The 16,449-nt window shown below is 44.7% G+C and overlaps 2 long non-coding RNA genes and 1 pseudogene across 11 annotated transcripts in view; 2 read left to right on the top strand and 1 right to left on the bottom strand.

Moving 5' to 3' along the window:
* Positions 1-16,433, top strand: part of LOC101929823 (uncharacterized) — a 36,131-nt gene extending 19,698 nt beyond the window's left edge. For 6 of the 9 annotated variants that reach the window (XR_001752720.3, XR_001752721.3, XR_001752717.3 and 3 more), the window contains 6 exons: positions 7,280-7,389; positions 8,453-8,584; positions 11,871-12,086; positions 12,970-13,035; positions 15,193-15,251; positions 16,347-16,433. This is a non-coding gene — a long non-coding RNA (uncharacterized LOC101929823). Of the gene's footprint in view, positions 1-6,012; positions 7,390-8,452; positions 8,585-11,870; positions 12,087-12,969; positions 13,177-15,192; positions 15,252-16,346 lie in introns of those variants that run through there. The other 3 variants (XR_942199.4, XR_942198.4, XR_942196.4) reach the window with 3 other exon arrangements.
* Positions 2,578-3,848, top strand: LOC101929828 (uncharacterized). 2 transcript variants are annotated; one of them, XR_942193.2, is made up of 2 exons: positions 2,578-3,458; positions 3,555-3,848. It is a non-coding gene; the product is annotated as an uncharacterized LOC101929828 (long non-coding RNA). The 2 variants fall into 2 exon arrangements; XR_942194.2 differs by having other exon boundaries at positions 3,552-3,848.
* Positions 16,346-16,449, bottom strand: GTF2IP17 (general transcription factor IIi pseudogene 17; annotated as a pseudogene).

The raw sequence follows: 16,449 nt of genomic DNA, 5'->3' as shown, positions 1-16,449 counted from the left end.
TGTTGAGGACAGGATTCTTTCCCCAATTTACTGGTAATGGACCTTGTCTAAAATCAGTTGAGCATAGAGGTATTGTTTTCTGTCTGGACTCCCAATTCAATTCAGTTGATCTTTCTGTTTATTCCTGTGCAAGGATCCCACTGTTTTTATTACTGTTCCTTTGTAATAAAATTTGAAATTGGGATGTGATCAGGATCAGCTTATCCACTTCTGTCCCAAGGCCTTTGGGATTTTTGTAGGAATAACATCGAATCCACGGATTGCTTTGTGTACTTTGGGAAACTTAACAATGTGGTCTACAAATCCACAAATAAGATACATTTTTACATTTATTGGAAGTTTAATTTCCTTAAGTAATGTCTTATAATTTCCCTCATCTAAGTCTTGTCGTTTCATTCCATTTATTCCTAAGTATAATATTGCTATTGGTATTGTTTAAGGTAGAATTTTCATAATTTGGTTTAGAGATTATTCATTCCTAGCATATACATATAAAATGGAATGTTTGGCCAGGCACCCGGGCTCATACCTGTAACCCAAGCAGGTTGAGAGGCTGAGGAAGGGTTAGGGTTAGGGTTGGGGTTGGGGTTGGGGTTGGGGTTAGGCTTAGGGCTTAGGGCTTAGGGCTAGGGCTAGGGCTAGGGCTAGAGTTAGGGTTGGGTTAGGGTTGGGTTAGGGTAGGGTTAGGGTTAGGGGTTAGGGGTTAGGGTTCGGGTTTGGGTTATGGTTAGGGTTCGGGTTCGGGTTCGGGTTTAGGGTTCAGGTTTATGGTTCGGGTTAGGGTTCAGGTTAGGGTTTTAGGGTTAGGGTTTTAGGGTTAGGGTTAGGGTTAGGGTTAGGGTTAGGGTTAGGGTTAGGGTTAGGGTTTTAGGGTTAGGGTTAGGGTTAGGGTTAGGAGCTAGGGTTAGGGTTGGGTTAGGGTTAGGGTTAGGGTTAGGGTTAGGATTAGGAGCTAGGGTTAGGGTTGGGTTAGGGTTAGGGTTAGGGTTAGGGTTTGGGTTAGGATTAGGGTTAGGGGTTAGGGTTAGGATTAGGGGTTAGGGTTAGGGTACTGTAAATAATTTCACATTATTACTAATAATAAATTATTATTTGTATTACACTATTACATAATGTAAAGGCTATTAAGACATGTTTGTCTTCAAAGAATGGCCTTGGTTTCTGTGGGCAGTGCCTCCTCATGGAAGGGTAATGCATTCCTGCTAAATCATGGACTAAACGGGCTTCCAGGAGCTACAGGCTGCAGCAGCAGCTTCTCCTCTACGTCCTTCACTGCCTCAAACTTTTGTTGACTTTGAAAGCTTCTTTCAGTCTAGTTTTATCAACAGAGCTAGTATTTCATGAGGTTCTACTACATACCAGGTTCCAGAAAGCTAAATGCCTTTTGTTTGTTATTATTCTCTAAATACAAATCACAACTCTCTCCTCATTACTCACACAACAAAATTTAGCTGCGGGAGATTGAGTGACTTTCCCAGGGTCACATAGCTACTAAGAGCAGAGTCGTGTTTAGATTCATGTGGGAATATTGAACACAGAAATGAACCAGTGGAAACATCCTACGTTCCAAAAGCCTACTCAAGCTATTTGTTCTTATTTTAAGGAAAATCTTTATGCTAATTTTAAACTCCAAATACTTACGAATGGCAGAGATCTACAGATTTGATTCTGATGTAAGAAATGATGGTCACCAGCTGGTTACTGCTACCACCCCACAACCCTGAGCATACTGGACGAATGTCTAAGCCTTGTGGTTAGTGGGGACAATGCTGGTGGAGTCTGAAGTTGTCATGCAGTGACTCATGCAAGCTTAGGCAGATTTGGTGATATATGACACAGAGATGCAAAGAAATGTTGTAGCTGACACACACAGGCTGGCTCTGGGAGATGCAGAAGGAGCACGTCACCCAAAATAGAGCCAGACAGACATCCTTAAGGAAGGAGCAAAGGGGCTGCATCTTAAAGAATGTAGAAAGGATTTGTCATGAGAGATGGGGCAGGAAGTTCTTGAGAGGCAGAGGGAGAGCATGAGAATGTTGGGAAGGGAGGAGAGATTCTTGCACATCTGGGAAGCTGACAATCCATCAGCATGGCCAGAAGGAAAATAAGGAGGAGGAGCAGAAATAGATGAGGCTGGATATAGAAGCAGGGCTGAAGCTGTGTCAATTGTGGTAAAGAGTTGTGATTCTATCCAGAACGCAATAGGTAGCATTCTAAACAGAGATCTTTTAAAACAAGAGTCAGCAAGTATTTTCTGCAAGGGGCTAAATGTTAAATATTTTAAGTTTTCCAAGCCATATGGTCTCTCTCTCAATGACTCAGCTCTTCCATTATACCATGAAAGTAGCCAGAGACATTATGTAACACATGTATTGGTTGTGTCCCATTACAACTTTACTTACAAACGCAGACTGTGTCAGACATGGTCCATGCATGGTAGTTTGCCACACTCTGTTTTAGAAAGCTCAGGTTTATGATGTGATGGAGAATGCCCACAAGAGCTCTTGTTTTAAACGGTAGAGTGAACATACACTGGAATTCTATCCTGCTTGACACAAGCTCTTGATAGCAAAAGGTAGAAAAGATAGATGGTAAATAGATAGATAGATGATAGATAAAGAAAATACATAGCTGTTCCAGAAAACAGAAATGGATAACTTCATGAACCAAAAGCAGAGTAATATACTTTAGAAAGGAAGCAGGCCGGAAAACCCACAGTTGCAAAACAAATAGAATTTCCAACTGCCTCTTGTAGCCCCTTCCTGGAAGTAGTCACAGCCCGGGGTGTTCAACTTCTTCCTCTGTTTTTTGTTTGTTTGTTGTTTGCTTTTCTGTGGGGTTTTTGTTGTTGTTGTTTGCTTTTAAAAAAAAAATTCCCTTTCCCTGCTTTTTTGTCACAGCAGCCTTTGTCACTTCAAACACCGCAAGTGTTCTTTAAAAAAAATTATATCAACCTTTCAATTCAAATGCAACATGTCTGAAACTTGGTATCTGGAGAGGTGAGTTGGACAAAGGAGCCCTTGTTACTGCACGTTTTCATTCTTCAAATTTCACCTTGCACGCAGTAACAGACAGTGCACAAAGCCACTTCCTTATGGACGGAAATTCTGAAATCCTTTTATGCCTGGCCTTTCCATCCTTCAACTTCCCCTCTCCCACGCTGTGAATGATTGTATTGGACATTTTTGTTTTAATGTCAGTGACAGGGGAACACAGGTAGCTCTAATATAGCTGTGACCCAGATGCTTCTGTTTCTAGCATGTATTTATTTTGTAGCAAACATTTACATCCATGATGTTTCACTGTCTTTTGAAAATAATTAGGCAATATCTCATCTGAGGTAGGATGTTTCTAGGGGTTGTGTTCTGAGGGAGGAAAACTAATCTGTTCTCTTTCCACTGCATTCTAGGAACAGTAAGAGGACCTTGTGCATGAATAATTTGTTTCCACACTACAGAGTGGGTAATAAGCAGATTAGTAAAAACAGTTCTGCTTCACTTCAATAACAGCCTCCTCCAACTCATTTTTTCTCAACAAACTTATTTTTCCAGCAGAAGAATCCCAGACTTCTTAGAGAACCCAGTGACTTTTTGCACCTTAAATCTGTGAAATCCTTATGTTTTCTTCTGCTGTATCCATAGTTCAAACAAAGATGAGGCAAAGCTAGACGCATTCCTGAAGGAACCCAAGAAATTCCTCTCTTTCTTTCTCTGGAATGAAATGAATTCTCTAGACCACCAGTTCTAACCTTCAAAAACCAAACCTGTTTGTGAGATCTCCTTCAAATACTACTGTAGACCCCAGTGTTTATTCATTAAATTTTTTAAATATTTGTTTTATTTGGAATCCATGTATTTGTAATTTTAGTGTTTGTATTAATATCAGGGAGAAATGTTTAAATCTGTCTTATGCCATATGTGCCTCTGGCTTATTGCCCAATTAATTGTAGTCTCAGGCTAAACTTTGGTTTCTGTCTTTAATTTTTGTCAGAAGAAATATAACTGATCTCAAAACATCTGCTTTTATTGTAGGGGCTTGTGCTGCCGTCTCCATTCTTCTCTCTTTTCTTGCAATCTGGGTGGAAGTTCTTTAATATGAACATTTCAACCACCTTCATTCTACCATGTCCACTATCAGCACATTCAAACTGATCCAGCCAAGGCTGTCATCTTAGGCCAGGGATTTTTTAGGAATCTATTTTGCTGTGATGCGGCTGGCACCCCTTTGACTCACTGTATCACCCCAGGGTTCTTTTCATTTCAGAAGCCCAAGAGGGCAGAAAAAGAAGTAGGTGAGCAATTAAACACTCTGAGTCAGGAGTGTCTCCCCTTGCGTTAAGCAATGTTGTAGAACATCGATGTTCTACATCGATGTTGGCAACCTTGGTACCATTTTGTCCACCTGATTGGAAAAGCCAGTCAATAATTTCAGGTCACTGTTGGCCTTAGAAGAAGAGCCCAAAGGCAACAAGCAAAGGCGCTGGTGTCCAGTCGCCTTCTAGAAGCATTTTCACTTTCCCTTAAGGTTTCCCTTGATGAACATAGAAGTACTGTATGTAGAATTGACCCAGTGCTGCCCTGGCAACTTTGTATATTAGGCCAAATTTACATTTCTTACCTTTATGAGAGGCACCCTGGTAGGCTAGTGGAGTTACACACAAAGTCTGATCTCAGCTGCACTGTCCAGAAATGCAACACGGTCCAATCAAATAACATTCTCTGAGCCTGTTTCTTTAGCTGTGAAAGAAGAATAACATACCCATCTAAAAAGGCAGCTTATTGTATTTGATTGGTCTTTTATTTTCTATGAAACTGTGTTTAACACAGTAATTATTTTCATTTGTGTACTACATTTGTGTTGTGTTTTTGGTTTTAGTTTTGTTTTTGAAATGGAGTCTTTTTTTTAGTGGTTTTTTGTTTTGTTTTGTTTTGTTTTGTTTTTGAGATGGAGTCTTTCTATTGTCACCCAGGCTAGAGTGCAGTGGCGTGATCTCTGCTCACTGCAACCTCCACCTCCCAGGTTCAAGTGGTTCTCCTGCCTCAGCCTCCTGAGAAGCTGGGATTACAGGTGCCCACCACCATGCCCAGCTAATTTTTAAAATATATTTTTAGTAGAGATGGGGTTACAACATGTTGCTCGGGCTGGTCTCAAACTACTGACGTCAAGTGATCCACCTGCCTTGGCTTCCCAAAGTGCTGGGATTATAGGCATGAGCCACCGCGCCTGGCTTGTTTTAAAATAAGGGTTTCTTGGCTAGGCATGGTGGCTCACACCTGTAATCCCAGCACTTTGGGAGGCCAAGGTCAGTGGATCACCTGAGGTCAGGAGTTCGAGACCAGCCTGACCAATATGGAGAAACCCTGTCTCAACTGAAAATACAGAATTAGCCAGGCGTGGTGGTGCATGCCTGTAATCCCAGCTACTCAGGAGGCTGAGGAAGGAGAATTGCTTGAACCCAGGGGGCAGAGATTGCAGTGAGCTGAGATCGCACCATTGCACTCCAGCCTGGGCAACGAGCAAAACTCTGTCTCAAAATAAAAAAAAGATTTCTTAAAATGATATTTTCAGTATTTTATAGATGATGTGTAAGCAGCAAGCTTAATAGGATGTTACCCGACACTTTGCGAGACTGGCAGCTGATTTGATCCAGATGTCTCTAATTCTTTTTTCTTTTTCTTTTTCTGTTTTTTTTTTTTTTGACAGAGCCTTGCTCCGTCCCCCATGCTGGAGTGCAGTGGCACGATCTCGGCTCACTGCAACCTCCACCTCCCGGGTTCAAGCGATTCTCCTGCCTCAGGCTCCCGAGTAGCTGGGATTACAGGCGCGCGCCACCATGCCCAGCTAATTTTTTGTATTTTTGGTAGAGACAGCATTTCACCATGTTGGCCAGGCTGGTCTCGAACTCCTGACCTTAGGTGATCTGCCTGCCTCGGCTTCCCAAAGTGTTAGGATTACAGGCGTCAGCCACTGTGCCTGGCCCAGATGTCTCTAATTCTAACATGAGACGTATTGCAGGATCATAGCAGAGTGAGTTGCTGATGTATCCAGAAGGAAACGAGCATGGAACACTCACGACAGCTGTCCTGAGAAGTGTGTGTGTGCTGTGCTTGAATATCTCACTGCTCATTTATACACAGGCTTTCTGGTGACTGAGTTAACAGTATCTGTTTCATAAATAATGTAGCCCTCTTTCTTTCTTTCTCTCTCTCTCTTTTTTTTTTTTTTTTTTTTTTTTTTTGAGACAGGGTCTTGCTCTGCTACCCAGGCTGGAGTGCAATGGTGCAGTCTCAGCTCACCGCAACTTCACCATGCCTGGCTAATTTTTTCTTTTTTTTTTTTTTTGAGACGGAGTTTCGCTGTTTTTGCCCAGGCTGGAGTGCAATGGCACAATCTCGGCTCACCACAATCTTTGCCTTTTGGGTTCAAGGGATTCTCCTGCCTCAGCCTCCCGAGTAGCTGGGATTACAGGCATGTGCCACCACACCCGGCTAATGTTGTAGTTTTAGTAGAGACGGGGTTTCCCTATGTTGGTTAGGCTGGTCTCAAACTCCTGACCTCAGGTGATCTACCCGCCTCGGCCTCTCAAAGTGCTGGGATCACAGGCATGAGCCATCACTCCTGGCCTAATTTTTGTATTTTTAGTAGAGAGAGGGTTTCACTCTGTTGGCCAGGCTGGTCTCGAATTCCTGACCTCAAGTTATCTGCCTGCCTCGGCCTCCCAAACTGTTGGAATTACAGGCGTGAACCACCATGCCTGGCCAGCTCTATTTCTTTAAGCCTACATGTTTTGCACTTGTTAAAAGTATTTGAACATACAATTACTCAGCTTCCCTTGTTTACGCGTGAATTTTGTAGAATCTTAAATATTTTTTCCAATCTAAGCTTTATTTTATCCCGTTTCTTCTATATTTGTATAACTTTAGGCGGCTATCTTCATTGAAAGTTTTTTCTCAAAAGCCTTAAGATAGAACGTAGTTCTTGGCAGCAATTTGAAAGTTATTTGAGGAGAAGGGGAGACTTACAATGATGATTCAAATGAAGGAAACTAAAAAGTAATGAAGCAAGGCAGAGGAAAAAGCAGTACTCACTTGAGCACATCCCAAAAGAAAAACATTTCAAATGTAACTAGAAAAAAATATGCTGAAGTTCGCAATACAGAAATAATTATTAATAAGATAGCTTTAAAGCCCTGCTCAGCTTTTGAATGTTGGGAATTGACCCAGAGGTGGCTGTAACCTAAGATGGTTCCTTCAGTAATGACCATTTTTTCTTTTTCAAGATGATGATTATTCCCCACCTTCTAAGAGACAAAGACCAACGAGCCACCACAGCCACCAGTCCCAGAACCCGCCAATGCTGGGGAACGGAAAATGAGGGAGTTCAACTCTGGTAAGTTCTCAGCGAAATCCATGACCTTTTCCTTTATCTTCTGGACTCTCAGTGTGACTGATGAAAGTTACCACATGCTCTGCAGGGGGAAATGGTTTAGCATGTGTTACTACATCTTAATCACATCTTTGTAAAGCCAGGAGCATTTTACAAGTCACGTTACAGACATTGTTTAAACATAGTCTGTATTTACCAAAGTATAGGACATTGTATCATCTCATATTAATTAGTTAGTTGGCTCAAAATTAGTGCTAATGACTTAGTAATTCAGTGATTTCTGTTAGCTTTAAAACCTTTATTTCAGAACTATTTCACCTCTTGGTTTTCATTTTTGCGGTGTGTCACTGCCTGCTGGCTGCTAATTTATTAACTCCCAGTGAATCATGTCCTGTGAAGGGACTGAATATTAGTGGCAATGTATGTTGATGATTTGTATTTTGAATAAATAGTTTGAATACATAGAACATTAAGCTTGTATACATTTTGAAAATAGTATTTTAATATTCTACTGTGTCATAGTTACAATGATTGGATATATATTGAATTTATATGTACTTTAAGTTGTTCTATGTTTATGGTCTTTAGCATTCTAACGTGCAATTGTATATCTGTTAAGTCTTTTTTTTTTCGAGATTAGACTGATTTATTGAGGCGTCTGTTTGATGCCACATGAAGTGGCCCAGGCTTTGTGTAGGGGTTGAGGTTAAAGCAGGAAGAAGGGTGGTGAGAGGCGGGGCACCAGGGTTAGGTTGGAATACCTGGGGGTGCTCTGAGGCTCCCCAAGTTTCCCTGGTCTTGGCCGGCTGTGCTGCTGGCCTGGGCATCTGATGGGCCTGCAAGGGTGGTCCAGGGGCTAGGGCAGGGACTTTGGAGTCACGCCGTTGGCTTTGAATCCAGACTCCTACACTTGGTAGCTGTGAACTCTCCATGCCTCAGGGACCTGCAGAACTGAGCTCTGTCTGAGCCAGGTTCCATCCAGGCACTGCGCATCCATCCAGAGGGGCACTGCCTCAGGCTGCTCGCTGTTCACTGCCTTCTCAAGCAGACCCTTGTCTCCTTCTAGGCCCTCACAATCCAGTGGAGGAGACGAAACTCATCTGCCTCTGTCCCTCTGGGCACGCCTCATGCCAGGTGCATCTGTGGACAGGGGCCATGCTCCTGGGCTTCCAAAGTTGGAGAAAGCTGCCAGGCTCAGGTGGGTACATCACAGCAGCTGCTGCCCTCTGAACACAGTGACAAAAGAACACTCTGGGCCTGGAGCCCTGGTCTGGGGCATTGGGCAAGGCTGTTGCACTTCTCTGATCCCATTTCCCCATCTGGAAAGTGCGCTGATTGTATCTCCCTGTGGGCACTGAGGGCTCAGTGTTAGTTTGAGAGCCAGCATCTGGGGTTTGGGCTGTAATTCCCCGTCAGCCCCATAGCTGCGGGGAACCAGGGACTTTGTTGGGATTACCCTAGGCATCAGTTTAGCTTCCTGCCCCTGGCTTGGGCTCAGCACCTGAAGTAGTCTAGGGGGTAGGTGGTGCTGGTGGGGGCTGGGGCTTTTACCCAGACTGAGGTCACACCCAGAGCCAGAAGTCTTGGTGCCTGCTCTGGGCAAAGGTGCCAGCCTGTGTGACAAGAGCGAAACTCCGTCTCCAAAACAAAAACAAAAAACCTTGCATCATTTCAAGGGGCTCACACCTCCCTAAGGGCCTGGTAATTGGCGGGCTCTGGCCTGCATCTGGCCCCGAGGGTGTAGGTAACACCCCACCTTACCTGGTTTCTTCCTGCCAGGGCCAATCTTCAGACCTCAGGACTTTACAGCCTATCCCACCTCCCCTCTGGCCAGCCTTGAGCCCTTGTGGGTCCAGCACTTTTTCCAGGCTGTCTCCTGGTTGTCCTTCTGCCTTGAGGCCTGGCTCATGCTGCTCCCCCTCCCACTCTCCAAGACCCACAAGGACCACTCCACACCCAGCTCAGCCCCATCCCCTCAGATAGTCCTTTCTCTTTCCTCAGGTGGCCAGGTGCATATCTTGGTGTGAGGACCTTCGCTGTATCTGGGAATGCCTACTGGTTACCTTGGTAACAGAGAACAAGGCATTTACCTGATATGAGTGTCTTGGTTCACTGTCTACATGGCTAGGGAGGGAATCAATAATAGGCTTTTCACTTGCTGCAAGGGCCGGTTCTCCTGGCCCCATGGCTCTAGGGATGGAGGACGCTGCAGGAGATGCAGCGCTCACTTCCTAGCTGAGGACTGTGGGTCATCTCAGGGCGATTTCACAGTCCCCACATGCCCCACCCCCTCAGCTCTGCAAATACCAAGCAGTGCAGCCTGCCTAGGGGATGATGGGCTCGAGAGTGCCCAGGTAGTGCCCAGAGTGCCCTTGGCAGGCCCCTCACCTGGCTGCTTCCACAGCTCTGTAGCAAGAGTTCTAACCTTTTTTCACCGTGAAGCCTGCTGAGAATAAGAGCTGTGGACTGTTTTCCCAGAAAGGCATGTACATGCTCTCCACACAAAACCTTTCATTGTGGCCAAGCACAGTGGCTGATGTGATCCCAGAACTTTGGGAGGCGGAGCCAGTCGGATCACCTGAGGTCAGGAGTTCAAGACCAGCCTGCCCAACATGGCGAAACCCTGTCTCTACTAAAAATACAAAAAATTAGCCAGGCGTGGTGGCAGCCACCTGTAATCCCAGCTACTCCAGAGGCTGAGGCAGGAGAATCACTTGAACCTGGGAGGCGCAGGTTGTAGTGTGGTGAGATCACGCCACTGCACTCCAGCCTGGGCGACAGGAGTGAAACTCTGTCTCAAAAAACAAAACAAAACAAAACCTTGCATCCTTTCAGGGGGCTCACACCTCCATAAGGGCCCAGTAATTAAACCCTTTGGGCCTGAGGGTGAGAAACTTTGTCCCAGTTCTTCCCCAAGTGATCAGCCCAGGGGTAAGGAAGGAGAAGCCAGAAAGCAGGACCCATGAGAAGGGCCCCCTCCTGGAGTTTGAGGCCCACTCCCTCCTACCCCTGCCTCTCCTCTGTCCAGGACTCCTCCCTGCTCTGCCCCACTCCTGGGGCCATAACCATGGGGAGCTGTGGTTTTCTACAGGCCCCTGGGCACAAAGTGGGCAGGCTCACCTGGAGGCGATCAGAGTAACATGGCAGGAAGTGAGGGGGAAAGCCGCCCTGGAACTGTGCCTCTCTGCCCCCTGACGTCACTGGCGTGCACTCCTCCCTCCCCTCAGGCAGTGGCATGAGTTCCATGTGAGCGCTGTCCTGCTCCCTCTGCTGCCTCTTTTTTTTCTTGGGGCTGCCATAACACTTTCCCTTCCCCAGCCCTGCCAACCTGGTGGGACATTGGGCTTCCCTCTCACAGGGTCCTGGGGACAGGCCCATCCTTTATCATACACACAGAGAGACCGTTTTTTTCTTCAGAACCTGGGGAGCAGCCAGGTTCCATGAGTTAAATGCAGATCTGAACCAAGCTGGGATTGGGGTACACACTCTCCTCTACTGAAAAGTAGCTAGGGATTCCAACTAGGTGAGAAGGAGAGTGGGGCAGAGCCAGACCAGACAAGGACTGATCACCTGGAAAAAGCCTGCCATCAAAGGTCTTGGCAAATGCTGGGTGCAGTGGCTCACTCCTGTAATACCAGCACTTTGCGGGGCTGAGACAGGTGGACTACTTGAGGCGAGTTCGAGTCCAGCCTGGGCAACATGGCAAAACCGCATCTCTACTAGAAATACAAAAATTAGCTAGGCATGCTACACTCCTGTCATCCCAGCTACTCAGGAGACTGAGGCAGGAGAATCACTTGAACTGGGGAGGCAGAGGTCGAAGTGAGCCGAGATTGTGCCCCTGCACTCCAGTCTGGGAGACAGAGTGAAACTGGCCTCAAAAAAAAAAGAATATGGCCTTGGCAGAGAGGGGCCAGCCCAGTAGTGCCTTCCCTTGGGTTTCTCCTGGGTAGGCCTCTGCCATGAGGAGGTGCTTCCTTCTGCCTGTCCATGGCCCACAGCAATGGAATGTCTGTTTCTGGGGGTTGGGTGGGAGAGTGCTGGCAGAACTGGAAACCTTCAGGTGGGGTTTTTTTGTTTTGTTTTGTTTTCGAGATGGAGCGTCGCTCTGTCACCCAGGCTGGAGTGCAGTGGTGGAATCTCAGTTCACTGCAACCTCTGCCCCCCTGGGTTCAAATAATTCTCCTGTCTCAGCCTCCTGAGTAGCTGAGATTACAGGCATGTGCCACCATGCCCGGCTAGTTTTTGTATTTTTTGTATAGATGGCATTTCACCATGTTGGCTGGGCTGGTCTCGAACTCCTGACCTCAAGTGATCCACCCATCTCGGCCTCCCAAAGTGCTGGGATTACAGGCATGAGCCACTGAGCCCAGCCCCTTCAGGGGGGTTTTGAGGCTTCACTACAATACTAGTTTCCTGTGGCTGCTGCAACAAATTACCACACACGTAGTGACTTAAAACAACCAAAATGTATTCCCTTACAGGTCTGAAGGCCAGAATTCTACAGTAAGTCCTACTGAGTCAAGGTGGGAGCAGGGTCGGTAGCTTCCGAGGCTCTGCGGGAGAATCCGTTTCCTGGCCGTAGAGGTGGCCTGCACTCTGCAGCTTGTGCTGCCCGTCTCGAATGACTGGAGTTTCCTGCTTCTGTCACTACACCTCCCACCCTCTCCATCACCTGCTCTGCTCTTACAAGGATCCGAGTGAGTACATCAACCCCAAAAGCCAAAGACCCTTAACTTCATTATATCTGCAAAGCTCCTTTTGCCATATAAGGTCATGTTCACCAGTTCCCGGGATTAGGATATGGGCATCTTGGGGGCATCAGCCTGCTACAGCTAGGCTGCAAAACTGTTACACCCTCCTGGTGTTTCAATGATTGGGAGAAAAGGGGTTGGCATTTTTTGCTTAGGGGTCCCTCTTAAACTTGTATCTGTAAGGTCGGGGGTCCCTCTTAACCTTGTGTTTTTGTTTTTGTTTTTTTTGAGGTGGAGTCTTGCTCTGTCATCCAGGCTGGCAGTGGCGTGATCTTGGCTCACTGCAATGTCTGCCTCCTGGGTTCAGGTGATTCTCCTGCCTCAGCCTCCTGAGTAGCTGGGACTACAGGCGCCCGCCACCATGCCCTGCTGTTTTGTATTTTTGGTAGGGACGGGGTGGGGGTGGGGCTAGGGAGGGGGGTTTTGGCTATGTTGCCCTGAGCTCAAAGTGATCCGCCTGCCTGTGCTGCCAAAGTGCTGGGATTACAGGCCTGCACCACTGCACCCGGCTGCTGTAAAGTCTTATTTCACACAGCTGAGACATGTTTTAGGAAGTTTGCTAAAAGACCCCTGGAGACCGCCTCATTGTGACCTCCCTGTTATTGTGTTTAATTTGATTGAACTTTTCTGCCCTCCTGCTTTTCAGCTTCTCTAATAGTCTCCCATTAAACCAATTCTAAGAACCACCAAGAAGGGGAAATTTTTTCTTGAAAGCAGTAAAATGATATGGACTGTTAGAATGTAAAATATATGAAATCAGTCATTATACGTTAGTGCTGCTCTGACATAGGGACGTGTTATTGAGAAGCAACTTTTGCTTGGTTTTCAGAGAAATGGAATCATCGTATCGCTGATCTACGTAAACAAACTGAAGAATTGTCTGAAAGAAAATATGGTATGTCTAAACTGGAAAAGTCTTGTAATCTTATGTTCATGGGCGTTTACACAGTGGAGTTACTGTTCATCATGGGGGTACCGTGGACAAGCCCAGGGCTGCCGGCGAGTCATGCCATCCTTACATGTTTCTCCTTGTAAGGTGCTTTGTAGTGTCTACACACTTTGTTTCTAGATTGCTGCAAAGCTGAGGAAAAGTTGTATTTCTTTAGTTATTAGTTAGCATTTCTTTTAAACTTTCAGTATGGAGATTGGATATTTATTTACATATTTATTGCAAAGCCCTGGATCTTAGGAATTTCATTGAATTATTTATTTATTTTTTTTGAGACGGAGCCTCACTCTGTCGCCCAGGCTGGAGTGCAGTGGCACGATCTCGGCTCACTGCAACCTCCGCCTCCCGGGTTCAAGCAGTTCTCTGCCTCAGCCTCCCGAGCAGCTAGGATTACAGGCACCAGCCACCACGCCTGGCTGATTTTTGTATTTTTAGTAGAGACGGGGTTTCATGATCTTGGCTAGGCTGGTCTTGAACTGCTGACCTCCTGATCCACTCACCTCAGCCTCCCAAAGTGCTGGGATTATAGGTGTGAGCCACCATGCCTGGCCAAATATTATTTTTTTAAATGAATTGTTTCTCTTAGTCTGCTTTGTTAAATTTGGAATTCATCTGGGCACGGTGGCTCACACCTGTAATCCCAGCACTTTGGGAGGCCAAGGCAGGCAGATATCTAGGTCGGGAGTTCGAGACCAGCCTGACCAACATGGAGAAACCCCGTCTCTACTAAAAATACAAAATTAGACGGGTATGGTGGCACATGTCTGTAATCCCAGCTATTCGGGAGGCCAAGGCAGGAGAATCGCTTGAACCCAGGAGGCAGAGGTTGCAGTGAGGCGAGGTTGGCACCATTGCACTGTAGCCTGGGCAAAAAGAGCAAAACTCCATCTCAAAATAAATAAATAAATAAAATGTTCAGTACTCACCAAGGTGCCCCTGTTGTCTCTACTTTTATCTTGATGCATCACTGAATTGATGTTAGATTTCAAATTCATCATTGCGCTGATACTATTCTATCCTGAAGCCACCTTTATATAGTGATGAAAGAAATTAGCGATTTGTTATTATCCTCTCTCTGTTGATATACATCAAATACTCACCTAAAAAAGAGCAACAACCAGTGGAAAACATGATGTTTTTATTTGGGTGACTATTTACTTGTAACCTACTAGCAAACTACAAAATTGTATGATATGCAGAATTTTAACTGAATTGCTTTAAGTGAACATTTAAACATGATAAACAATATTGATGGTATTTATGTTAATATACTTAAAATGAACATTTTTCTTCATCATGAGTAATATAACCTACTCCTCAATGAAAACCTAGCACTAAATTTGCTAATGAATTCAATAACATTTCCGTAATATTTTTAGTTACATGCTTAAGGTTCTCTTAGTGTTTCTCCCACTTTTTAATAGCTTATGCCTTTTTCACCTTTGGTTTTTTTTTGGTTCATTTTAAAGCAAAAATCTCACAACATGTGATATCTGGAAACACTGTAACCTAGTGGTAAGACCATAGGCCCTGGGGACACAGGCTGGCCACGTCTCTTCTCCTGTCTGAGCTTTAGTATCCTCTTTTGTGGTCATGAGAACTGAAGATCTGTCCCGAAGATTTGATAAGATAGTAAAGTGCTTCACATAATACCAGACATATAAATACACAGTAAATGCTTCCTCCTTATATTTTTATTGATTGATTGATGGAGACAGAATCTTGCTCTCTTGCCCAGGCTGGAATGCAGTGGCATGATAATGGTTTCTGCAACCTCCACCTCCTGGGTTCAGGCAATTCTCCTGCCTCAGCCTCCCGAGTAGCTGGGATTACAGGTGCCTGCCACCATGCCCAGCTAATTATTGTACTTTTAGTACAGACGGGGTTTTACCATGTTGGCCAGGCTGGTCTCGAACTCCTGACCTCATGATCTGCCTGCCTCGGCCTCCCAAACTGCTGGGATTACAGGTGTGAGCCACTGTGCCCAGCCTGTCTTTTCTCTTCACACCCGCAGTTCATGATGAAATATTAAATATGTACTAGTGGATATTACTTTGCTGAATATTGCCTAATGAATATTAAGTATTTATTCTCACCTTTCAGACATGAACTTATGAATTCAACAGGTGAAGATTTACAACTTGATAAATCAACTTTGTCAGGTACGTCTTCAGTCAAGTCAGATTAGAAGATTATGTGAGGTAATTAACACTTAACATTGATTTAATGGTAGCTTCCACATGAAATAGTATGCCTCTAAGTATTAATTATGTCCTAGGACAGGAGAATTCATGTTGTCAAAATTCTCATACTCTCTAGAACAATAAACTCATTTTCTTTTTATTAGTAAATATTGCATTTATGGGTAGACAAAACTGAAAGAACAATATTTGTTCTACTTTTGAGATGCAAGATTCATCTGGCATAATGCATTGAACAGGTTATTATTGAAGTCTACACCAGTCAACTGAATAAGCATTCATCAAATGTCCATGATATGCAGGACATAAGTTTTCTTTTAGAGTATGGAACCATGCATATTATCTTTTAATTAGATGATTTAGTTAGATATGTTTTTAAAGAACTAGAAATATAATTGATTTTCTTGTTTTGGCTCTGGAGTGGAGTGGGGACGAAACAGAATGGATTCACACTTGTTTAGATTTACTAAAATGGAAAGATTGCAGCAAGATCATATCCCTAGTCTCCCTACTCCCTATAGCAAATGTCACCTGCTAGCTGTTTTTTTTTTTTTTTTTTTGGAGGTTGAAGTTTTGTTCTGTCACCCACGCTGGAGTGCAGTGGTATGATCTCAGCTCATGGCAAGCTCACCTCCTGGGTTCAAGCAATTCTCCCTGCCTCAGCCTCCTAAGTAGCTGGGATTACAGGCCTCTGCCACCACGCCTGCCTAATTTTTGTATTTGTAGTAGAGTTGGGGTTTCACCATGTTGGCCAGGCTGGCCTTGAACTCCTGACTTCAGGAGATTCACCCGCCTCAGCCTCCCAAAGTGCTTGGGATTATGGGTGTGTCACTGCACTTGGATTTAATGGGATATTTCACTACAGACTTCGGTAAACAGAATATTAGCATTTTTGGTGTTCTTTTTATTTTACTCATACTGTTTTTCTTTGGACTCAATCACAATAACAGAATTAAAGATCAAAGTGTAAAAGTTAAAGACCAGTACAGATTCAATAATTATTCTTTTCTACATACCGTGTTTAAATGATATCCCTTTTTCTTTTTGTTCTTATAGCTCGAGCTGTAAAAGCCAAAGGTCCGGTGATGATCCCATACCCTTTTTTCCAGTCTCATGTTGAAGATTTTTATGTAGAAGGCCTTCCCAAAGGAATTTTTTT

This window comes from Homo sapiens, chromosome 17 (assembly GCF_000001405.40).
Source record: "Homo sapiens chromosome 17, GRCh38.p14 Primary Assembly".
Classification (NCBI taxonomy): Eukaryota; Metazoa; Chordata; class Mammalia; order Primates; family Hominidae; genus Homo; species Homo sapiens.
Note: the sequence above shows the minus strand (reverse complement) of the source record. Positions and strands in the feature narration are given on the sequence as shown.